Genomic DNA, 12,631 nt, shown 5'->3' with positions numbered 1-12,631 from the left:
TTGTTGCCTGTTTTTCTTTACTTTTTGGAAAAAGCTCTAATTTTGCCCTGTTTTTTTTTTTTTTTTTTTTTTTGGCATAGAATAATTGCTGAAGGTTATATTCCATTGCATAAATATTTATTTTAAACCTTTTATTACTGGTATTCTAAATGGTTTAGTGTAGAGAACTTTATTCATGTTTCTTTTATTATTTTTAAATCCCCAAATGGTCAATATACTAAGTTGTTTAATTCACATTATAATTATTTTTTTTGCTTGAGCAAAAAAAAATCTGATTTCTGTATTTATATGGTAACTGATAGATATAACAAGAAGAGTAAACATGTGCTTTACAGATATAAAGAGGGTTTTTAACAATTATAATGTCCTGTAAATGTCTTTAGCATAAATATATTCTAAACACCTTAAATTGCAATTTCTACATAAATAAGATCTCATTTACTTTCGTCAGTTTGTTTCAGGTTCCAAAAAAATAATGTCCTGGTCTGTTGCTTTCTGAAATGTTTTTATTCAACAGACTATTTCTGATTCATTTTTGGTCATTTGGATAAACTTCCCATTCTTTAAAGTTTTCAAAGACAGGTCTCTGATTTGGTATGTAAGAAATTTAGAAATTACCACTCTGCCCTAAAATCAAAGTAAAATGCTAAACAAACTTACATGTCAACAGTTCTTCTTAGATCTATCAAATAAGTAAGGTCACAGGAAAAGCTAATACCTTCAAAACTGGAGAGACATTCACGAAAATACAGAGACTACAATGTAACCACAGGGTTGGGGGGCGCAGGGGTGGATCACTAGCAGAAACCTCTATCAGAACCAATGCTTGGAGAGGAAAACATAAATTGTAATTGATGACTCGGTGGAGTCTCAATATGGACAAATCTAAAAAGTTAAAAACTCCATGGTGGTCAGGGATGTGGGGATCCCCTATACTTTTGTAAATTTTACCTCCAGAAGCTACACCAGGTCCTCACAGTAAATATCAGGAAAAAATAATCTCCTTGTGCTTCCAGCAGGGAGGATGGGAAAATGAATCATTTTGTAATACACTAGAGCATGCTGTACTTCTAAATAATGTCTGCCTTCAAGGAAACTATGTTATCAGAATCTAACCTGCTGGCATTTTACCAGAGCCTAATCTAACTGGGGAAAGGTAAATATCTGACTCTAGCCAACTCTAGCTTTGCACATAAGAGAAGGGAAATATACAACTCCAGCCCCCCTAGCCATTCTATTCCACCTAAAAAGGGAGAAAAAACACAAGAAGCACTAGTGGAGGTTACAATCCAGGACCACAACTCATCAAAAGACTGAGATCTAATTATGTTACTGTACAATGCTATCTTCACTTTCCATAATTTATCACTACATTATTAAAGGCCTATTTACCTCAGTTACTTTATCAAGTGCATCATGCCCATATTTTAATTTAAAAAATACAAGGCATATTTGAAGACAAAAAGTACAGTTTGAAGAAAATAAGCAAGCACAAGAACCAGAGTTACATATGGCAATGATGTTGGAATTGTCAGACTAGGGATTTTTAAAAATCACTATGATTAATATGTTATGGGCATTAATGGAAAAGTAGATAACACAAAAATATAGCTAATATACAAGAGATGGAAATTATAAGAAATAATCAAAGAGAAATGCTAGAGATAAAAAACACTGTAACAGAAATGAAGCATGCCTTTGAAAGGCTCAATAGCAGACCAGAAATAATTGAGGAAACAATCTCTGTGCTTGAGAATATGACAATAGGCACTTCCAAAACTAAAATTCAAAGAAAAAAGATGGAAAAAATTCAATATATTCAAGAACTGTTGTTCAATGACAAAACGTGTAACATATGCCTAATTGGAATGCCAGAAGGAGAAGAAAGGAGAGAACATAAAAAAAGACATATTTCAGGCAGTATCGACTGAGAATTTCTGCACGTTAATGTCATACACAAAAGCACAAATCCAGGAAGCAGAGAATACCATGTGGGATAAATACAAAAAAGAAACATACCTAGGCATATAATGTTCAAACTGCAGAAAACTTAAGAAATCTTGAAAGAAGCTGGGGACGGGGGTAGGAAACCTCTTGCCTACGGAAAAACAAATAACAATTAAAACCAACAGCCCCTCAGAAATCACACAAGCATTAAGAGAGTGGAGTGAAATATTTACAGTTAAGAGGAAAGTATCAACAACCTAGAATTCTAAATTCTATAAAATTACCCTTCAAAAGTGAAAGATAAATGAAGACTCTATCTAACAAAAATTGAGAATTTTTGCTGCCACTAGCCATGCCTTGCAAGGAAGATTAAAAGAAGTTATTCAGAGAGAAGAAGAATAGTATTTTATATCATTGGGATGAGAGTCCCCTCCAAATCTCATGTTAAAATGTGATCCCCAATGTTGTAGATATGGCCTGTTGGCAGGTATTGAATCACAGTTGTGGTTCTTTCATAAATTGCTTAGTGCTATCTGCTTGGTGATAGAGTTCTCGCTCAGTTAATTTAAATTCAATCTGGTCATTTGGAGAGGTCTTAGACCTCCTTCTTCTCTCTCTTGCTCTCTCTTTCACCATGTGACTTGCTTACTCCCCTTTCACATTTTGCCATGATTGAAATCTTCCTGAGGCCCTCGCTAGGGGCAGATGCTGGTGCCGTGATTTCAGTACAGCCTGCAAAATTATCAGTCAATGTAAACTATTTTTTTAAACAAATTATTCAGCCTCAGTTAATTCTATATAGCAACACAAAAAATGAACTAACACAATATGAGTGAGAAATGCATATCTACATAAAGAAAGAAAGAACCTTAGAGAATGACTAAGTGAAGGTAGTATAAAAACTTTTATTTTCTTATTTTTAATTGACCTAAAAATAATAATTTGTTCAAAATAATAACACCAACAACTCATGTGAAATGCTTACATGTAAATAAAATGGATAACATAAATTATACAAGAAATAAGAGGGAGAAATTAGAAATATATTGTTATTATAAGGTACTCACACTACCTATGAAATAGTATAGTGTTATTTGAAAGTAATCTTGGATTAGTTGTACATGTGTATTGCAAACTCTAGAACAACCACTAGAAAAAATTTTTTAAATAAATATAATCGATATGCTAAAAAAAAGAGAGAAAAAGAAAGCACATAAAATTCTCAATTAAAATTACAAAAGATAGAAAAAGTATGAAAAACAAAAATAGAAACAAAGAACAAGGGCAACAACTAGACAAAATAGTAATAATTGTAGTAGATATTAATCCAACTGTATCAATAATTACCTTGAATGTCAATGGTTTAGATACACTGATTTAAAGGCAGAAACAGTCAGAGTGGATATTAAAAACAAAACTCAACTATAATTTGACCAGAAAAAAGAACCCACTGTAAATATAAAAACACATATAGATTAAAAGTAAAAGGATGGATAAAGATATACCATAATAACACTAATGAAAAGATAGCAGAAGCAACTGTATTAATCTCAGAGAAGACTTTAGAATCAAGAAAGTTATTAAAGGGGGGTGTTAAATAAGGATAAAGTAGTCAATATTTCAAGAATACTTAAAACTCCCTAATGTCAGCAGACTAAAGATGAAAAACCACTTGATCATATAAAGTGATGCAGAAAAAGCATCTGACAAAACTTAATATCATTTTATAATTAAAACTCTAAAACAACTAGTAACAGTGGGGGACTTTTTCAACTTGATTAGTAACATTTACAAAAAATAGTATAGGTAACACCACCTTAATAGTGAAAAACCTGACGCTTATCTACTAAGATCAGGAACAAGGCAAGGACATACCATCTTACCACTGCTTTTAAACATCATCCTGGAATTTCTTTGTAACACAATAAGACAATAAAAGGAAATAAAAGTTATGCAGACTGAAAAGGAAGTAACGAAACTGTCTTTGTTGACAGAAGACATTAATATCTATGTAGAAAATCCAAAAGAATCAACAAAAACCTCCTAGAACTAATAAGCAATTATAGCCAGGTTGCAGAATATAAGTTTAATTTACTGAAGTCAGTTGACATTTATATATTAGCAAAAAAAGACACAGTAGAATTTTAAATTAAAAACACATTACCACTTACATTAGCACCCACAGAAATAAAATACATAGGTATAAATTTAACAACACATGTGCAAGAGCTATATTTTTTAAAACTACAAAACTAATAAAGAAATCAATAATTAAATAAATGGAGATATATTCCATGTTTATAGATAGAAAGCCTCAATGTTTTTAATATGCTAGAGCTTTTTAACTTGATCTATCTATATATACAACCAATCCCAATCAAAATCCCAGCAAGTAGTGTGAATAGTGAAAAATTGATTCTAATGCTTATATGAAGAGGTAAAGAACTCATGATTGCCGATTCAATATTAAAGAAGAACAAATATGGAGTACTGATAGTACCTGACTTCAAGACTTACTGTAAAGCTAAAGTAATAATGACAGTTTTCTATTTGTGAAAGAACAAATGGATCAGTGTAACTATATACAGAGACCAGAAATAAACCCACATAATGTAGTTCATTAATCTTTGACCAAAGGAGCAAAGGCAATAAAATTGAGCAAACATAGTATTTTCAACAAATGTGTTGGAATATATGGACATATCTATTAAAATAAAAGAATGTTGACACAGAACTTAATATCTTTCAAGAAAATTAACTGAAAACAAATCATGGACATCAAAATAAAACACAAAACTATAAAACTTCTAGAAGATAACAGAAAAGAGAAACCAGATTATTTTGAGTATGGTGATAATTTTTACAAGACTAAAGGCATGATTTATGAAATAAATAATCGATAAGCTGGACTTCATTGAAATTACAAACTTCTGCTCTTAAAAAAGTCACTTTTGAGAAAATGAGAAGGCAAGCCAAAACTGGAAAAAAGTATTTGCAAAAGACACATTTTATAAATGACTATTATCTAAATATATATTTAAAAACTTATGTAAAAAGTAAAGTAGAGGTTCCTCTTCAAAGACTTTCCTCCCCATCTAATTAGGAATAAATAGCAACTTCTCTTAGAAGCAAAATTTATTCAAAGAGCTGTTCTAACATTCTTAAATATCTGCTAGCCGTAATAAAGAAATCAATGTACTTTATATTCTTAGCTCCCACAATTTAGCCTAAATATTTGCCCTGGCATGCTTATACTGGTCCAAGCAAGCATTAAGTCATAGCCTTTTCATCTTCCTTATTTGAAGGTGTTTTTACCTTTCTCAACATTCCACAAGTTTACTTCCTCCTTCTTTTTTCTCCTCTGCCTTTGCTTCTTTTAAAAAGTTCTAAGTTGCTTGCCAGTCGGGAAAAATGCAGAATGTGAGGTTCCATTCCAGCCAACGGAAACCAGACACAGCAGTAGGGTGGATGTGTCAGGTTATAAATGACCCTGTCTCCTTTGTTCGGTGTACTCTCATGGCAAAACCGCTGGCAAGTGTACGCTTTCTGCAGAAAGTTAAAATGGCCTTGCTGAGGAAATTAAATTTACCTTCAAGTGCTATTTCTTTATGGCACCGAGGAAAAAGCATTTCAAACACTTATAAAACTCAATAGTAATATATGGAGCAACTCAATTTTTAAAAATGAGCAAAAGACTTGAACAGATACTTTATCAAAGTATATATGCAGATGGCAAGTAAGCACATGAAAATATTATATGCTCAGCATCATATTTTTGTAGGGAACTGCAAATTAAAACAACAATGAGCTACTACTACACACCTATTAAAATGGATGACATCTAAACACTAACAACATCAAATGCTGGAGAGGATGTAGAAAAGCAGGATCTTTCATTCATTACTGCTGGGATTGCAAAATGGTACAACCACTTTGGTGGGTAGTTAGGTAGTTTCTTAGAAAATTTAACATACTTTTACCATAAGTTCTTATAATCACACTCCTTAATATTTACCCAAAAGTATTAAAGACTTATTTCCACATAAAACCTGAATAAAATTGTTTAGACCACCTTTATTTATAATTGCCAGCACTTGGAAGCAACCAAGATGTCCTTAAGTAGGTATTGAATACATAAACTGTGATGCAGCCAGACAATGGCGTATTACTGAGCACTAAAAATAAATTAGCTATTTATTTATGAAAAGGCATGAAGGTACTCTAAATGCATGTTACCAAGTGAAAGAACCCAATCTAAAGAGGCTACATACTGTATGATTCCAATTATATGACATTCTGGAAAAGGAAAAACTATAGAGATAGTAAAAAGATTAGTGGTTGTCAAGGGTTGAGAGGGGAGGGAAATATGAATAGAAAGAGCACAAAAAAATTTTAGGACAGGAAAACCATTCTGTAAAACACCATAATTGTAAATACATGTTATTATACCTTTGTCAAAATCCATAGAACGTACAACACCCAGAGTGAGCCTCAAGGTAAACTGTGGACTTTGTTTGATAATAAATTGCTAATGTAGGTTCATTGATTGTAACAATTGTAACACTCTGAGTCAGGATGTTGATAGTGAGGGAGGTTGTCCTCGTGTGAGACCAGAGGCAGATGGAAACTCTTTTAACTTTTTACTCAATTTTGCTAAGAACCTATAACTTCTCTACTAAGTAATGTTTATTAATTAACAAGAGATTGTAAAAGGCAAATGTGACTTTTTCTTCTAAAAAAAGGATTTAGAATCATTATATTTATCAGAAGATGTTTGCAACAATAATGCTGTTGTGTGTACTGTAATAAAGACCTTGCTTGTCAGCTAGCCTGGACATTATATATCCACCAACTTGCAGAATTATGAACTATTCTCTAAGACTTGGCCCATGAAAGGATCAGAGATTGAAGCCCAGCTAATGAGGGGTACTTGAATGCTAAGTACTTCTATGATATGACTCTAAGATAATTATATTTCCCTGATTACAGTTCAGACAACAGTAAAATCTCCTATTCAAAATGGTCATTGAAGTTAACTGGCTGGTGAAGAATCTGCTTCTAATTGTTAGCAAGGTATAAGGTGTAGCATAATCAGCCATTGGTTGGAAATAAAGTGAAATCAGAAGTCAAAACCAAGCACAATTCAGAAACAGCTTAAACTCACCTTATCCAGAATAATTATGAGAGATATATTATAGACATTAAAGAGATATGCATAGAAAAATTAGCTAGCAAGAGAGTAAATTTCGGACAAAAAACTTACCTGTATCTATGATTCTGGAAACAAGAATAATTTCTCTAGGGTCACCTGGCTTGAAAAGAGACAATATATAAATGCAAAATCACATAGGTGCGAAAGGCCAAGATTTATGTTTGTAAATGTGAAATTAAGACCTGAAACAAGATGTTTAGATCACTGTATAATCAGCATGCTCTGAGTACCTTGAAGTCTATTGGTAAGTGTTCAGTTGCTGAAAATGAAATGAATTTTACCTAATTTAAGCAGAAATGAATTTATTAAAGGGAATAGCTTACCAACTAATTCAAACTACTGAAGAAATAAACTCTAGGTTATACTTTCAGGAACAATTTGCAGTCATATTGCAGAACTAAACCACCAAGGGAGCTACTGCCTCTTCTATGATTAAGAAGCAACCTGGTAAGATTTCCCTCCTAGTAGTATAGGCCGACTCCGCAGTTAAACTGGGATAAATTATATTTAAAAAAACATTTAAAGTCTTGGAAAGTGTTCCTAGATACAGACAGCAAATGAAAAACCATTACTATATAAAACCTAATTAAAGAACATAAAAATCTATTTTATTTGAACCATACTACATTTTCCGCCACTCCCCTCCTAACTCAGCATGAGAAAAACTCTACAGAAATACAGCCATACCAAAACTTGTCTTCCCCTTAGCTCCCAGTTGGAGAGCTATGGTATCTTCCAGGAGGGGCACAACATCACCTTTTATCATTTTTCTCCCCAGTTACCTGTTACTGAAGCTGTGTTTTCGGTTATTGCGACTAAAAAGAGAGGCTTTTTTCTTTCACCCAGTCCCACTCATATAGGAAAGAAGCTCTAAATTGGCCACAGTGCACTGATAATACTGGCACATTTTTAATTATAATTTCCCAGCTTATTTATAAAGCAAAGATTCTAAAACTGGAAAGACAAGCCACACAGAACAGAATGTACGACTATCTCTCTCTGCTGTGTGCTGATTTCCAATAACAGAGGTGTCACTCAGAGTGAAGGACATAACTGTCCCTGCCCCTAGTCATTGTTAATAGAATTTGCCCAAGGAAAAGGACCATAAAACAGAGAGCTCTGAAGCTCTTCTCAAAGGAACTGACATTTATTTTCAACAGAGTTTGAAGAAGTTCAAGCCTAAGGGTATGCTCAAAAACAGTGGAAGTGAATTCATCAGAGATAAAGGCTAAATTTTAGCCCAGCTAATTTACCAAAGAGAACCAAGGAAAGACACCACTAAGTGACATTACAGGGTCAGAACTAATCTCAAACACTGACCTCAAACAGTATTCTATGTTCATTTCTTATTTTAAGTTTAGGGGTACATGTGTAGCTTTGTTACATAAGTAAACTTGTTTCATGGGGGTTTCTTGTACTGATTATTTCATCACCCAGGAATTAAGCAAAATATTTGTTAGTTATTTTTCCTGATCCTCTCCCTCTTCCCACCCTTTACTCTCCAATAGGCCCCAGTGTGTGTTGTTTTCCTCTTTGTGTTCATGTGTTCTCATAATTTAGCTCCAACTTATAAATGAGATGTGACTTTGGACCTTGGAATTTCAGTTAATGCTGGAATGTGTTAAGACTTCAGGAGACTGTTGGGAAAGCATGATTGTATTTTGCAATGTGAGGACATAAGATTTGCAGATGCCAGGAGTGGAATTATATGGTTTGGATCTGTGTCCTCACCAAATCTCATGTGGAATTGTAATCCTCAGTGTTGAAGATGGGGCCTGGTGGTGGGTGATTGGATCATTGAGGCAGATTTCTCATGAATGGTTTAGCATGATCCACGGTGGTGCTGTCGTCATGATAGTGAGTTCTCATGAGATTTGATTGTTTAAAAGTATGTATGACCTCCTCCCTCTCTCTCTTGCTCCTTCTCTGGTCATGGAATATGTCTGTTCTTCCTTTACATTCCATCATGATTGTCAGTTTTATGAGGCCTCTCCAGAAGCCAAGCAGGGTACAAGTTGTCAGTGGATCTAATTTTTCTGGGTCTGGAGGATAATAGACCTATTCTCACACCTCCACTAGGCAATGTCCCAGTGGGGACTTTGTGTGGTGGCTCCATACCCACATTTTTTTCTTCACACTGTCCTAGTAGAGGTTCTCGTGAAGGTTCCACCCTTGCAGCAGGCTTCTTTCTGGACATGCAGGGTTTTCAATACATCCCCTAAAATCTAGGTCAAGGTTCCCATGCCTTTTACTCTTACATTCTGTGCACCCACAGACTTAACACCATGTGAAAACCACAAAGACTTTCCACTTTCACCCTCTGAAGCAGCAGCTCAAGCTGTACTTAGGCACCTTTGAGGTATGGCTGGAGCTGGAATGGCTGGAATGCAGGTTGCATTGTAACCATGTTATGCAGGGCATTGGGGTCCTTACGCTGGCCCACAAACTATTTGGTCCCCTTATGCCTCAGGGTCCATGATAGGAGTGGCTGCCACGGTGATTTCTGAAATGCCTTTGAGGCTTTTTCCCCATTTTCTTGGCTGTTAAAACTTGGCTCCTTTTTAGTTATGAAAATTTCTGCTGCTTGCCTGATTTCTTCCCCTGCAAATAAGCTTTTCATTTTTACCACAAGGCCAAGCTGTAAATTTTCAAAACTTCTATACTCTACTTACCCTTTAAATACAAGTTCCAGCCTTAAGTCATTTATTTGCTCATGCATATCATATAAGCATAGGCTGTTAGAAGCAGCCAGGACACTTCTTGAATGCTTTGCTGCTTAGAAATGTCTTTCACCAGCCACCAGATACCCTAAATTATCATTCTGAACATTAAAGTTTCACAGATCTTTAGGGCAGACGTACAATGCAGCCAAATTCTTTGTTCAAGCATAACAAAAATGACCTTTTTTCCAGTTCCCAATAAGTTTCTCTTATCTGTCTGAGACCTCTATAGCCTGGCCTTCATTGTTCATATCACTATTGGTGTTTTAGTCACAACAATTTAACCAATCTCTAGGAATTTCCAAACATTCCCTCATCTTTCTGTCTTCCTCTGAGCCCTCAACACACTTCCAACATCTGCCTCTTACCCAATTCCAAAACTGCTTTCACATTTTTTGGTATCTTGATAACAATGCTTTAAGCCTTGGTACCAATTTTCTGTATTAGTCTTTTCTCATATTGCTATAAAGAAATACCTGGGATTGGGTACTTTATAAAGAAAAGAGGTTTACTTGTCTCATGGTTCAGCAGGCTGTGCAGGAAATATAGCGGCATATGATTGGGCTCTGGAGAGGCCTCATAAAACTTGTAATTATGGCAGAAAGTAAAAGGGGAGCAGATATGTCACATGGCCAGAGCAGGAGCAAAAGTGAGAGGGGAGAGCTGCGAAACACTTTTAAGCAACCAGATCTCATGAGAACTTGCTATCATGAGGACATCACCAAGAGAGATGGTGCTATACCATTTATGAAATATTTGCCCCCATAATCCAATCACCTTCCACCAGGTCCCACCTTCAACATTGAGGATTACAATTCGACATGAGATTTAGTGGGCACACAAATCCAAACTGTATCAAACAGGTAATTGACAATGTTTCATCAGAGAATATTAATAAAGAGATAAGTTATTAAAATGAAAACTATGGAATTGATAGATACAATAATGAAAAATGAACAATTTACTAAAGATACTTCATGGTATAAGAATTAGCAGACTTGAAGATAAATTGATAGAAATTATATAAATCAAAAATTAAAAGAAAATTAGAATAATCCAGTCTATCATTGTTGGACATTTCAGTTGGTTCCAAGTCTTTGCTATTGTGAATAGTGCCGCAATGGAGGGATAGCATTAGGAGATACACCTAATGCTAAATGACGAGTTAATGGGTGCAGCACACCAGCATGGCACATGTATACATATGTAACTAACCTGCACATTGTGCACATGTACCCTAAAACTTAAAGTATAATAATAATAAAATAAAATAGATAAAGAAAATTAGAATAAATAAAAATGAACATATTCTCACAGAAATGTGGAACATTAAGCACACAAACTTACCAGTAAAGAAAGTAACAGAGAGGAGTAAAAAAAGCAGAAATAATACTTCAAAAAATAATGCTCAAAATTTGCTAGATTTGATGAAAAACTTTAATCAACACATTCTAGAAACTCAACAAATGCTATGTAAGCAAAGCAGAAAAATAGGCAAAGAAACTTCATAATGTAAATGCTGAAAATCAAAGACAAGAGGAAAATTTTGCAATCAGCAAGAGCAAACTTATTTATAACTTACAATGAAACTCCAATAAGATTAAAAAGTGCCTTTTTATCAGAAACAAAGGAGACCATAAAGCAGTGAGATACATATTTGAAGTGCTTTGAGAAAAAAAAAGGCAATCAAAAATCTTATATTTAGAAAAAATATCTTTCAACAATGAAGACAAAGACATTTCAAAACTATTTAAAAATTAAGAGAATGTGTTGTTAGCAAACCTGCTTTATAATAAATAGCAAAGGAAGTTCTTTAGGATAAAAGTAAGTGACTGCAGAAAATAATTTACGTACACATACAAAAACAAAGAGCAACAGCAAAGGTAATTATGCAATTGAAAAATTAACACAGAAGCAGATATTTCTTATTTCTTCTCTTAACAAATTTAAAAACAATTGTATAAGACAACATGTATATAATTGTATCTGGATTATATAGCAAACAAATATGTGATATTAGTGTGAATAATATCATGAAGGATGTAGGTGAGACCAAGGCTGTATAAGTCCGTAGTAATGACAGCAAATGGTAACAGAAATTAAGGAACAAATAAAGAGAACAAAAAATGACAAATAAGGTTATAAGGATTGAAATAGTACAAATTATTTTGGTTCAGTTATAATGGAATGGAACTAGGAACCAATAATAAAGAAAATTTGGAAACTCACAAATATGTGAAAATTAAACAATACACTTCTATACAACAAATGGGTCAAATAAATAATCACAAGGAAAATTAGAAAATAATTTGAAATAAATAAAAATATAAAACACATGCAAAAACTTATGAGATGTAGCTAAATAGTGCATAGAGAGAAATATATAGTTAAAAATGTCTATATTCAGATAGAAGAAAGTTCTCAAATCAATAATCTAACTGACTGCCTTAGGAAAATGGAAAAAAGAGAAAACTAAAAGTAAGTATATTGAAAAAAGAATAAAGTTTATACTGGAAATTAGTAAAATCTAAAATAGAAAAAAATACAGAAGTGCAACAAAACCAAAAACTGGTGCTTCAAGAATTCAACAAAATTGAAAAACTTTTAGTTCAATTAACCAAGAATGAAGGAAGGGAGACCTGATTCCACAGCTAAAGTATTAGGTGACATTACTACCAACTATTCAGAAATTTCTCAAATATTATAAAGGAATACTATAACCAATTGTATGCCAACAAATTGAATAGCTTAC

The sequence above is a fragment of the Homo sapiens genome, chromosome X, assembly GCF_000001405.40.
Source record: "Homo sapiens chromosome X, GRCh38.p14 Primary Assembly".
NCBI classification, from domain to species: domain Eukaryota; kingdom Metazoa; phylum Chordata; class Mammalia; order Primates; family Hominidae; genus Homo; species Homo sapiens.
Note: the sequence above shows the minus strand (reverse complement) of the source record.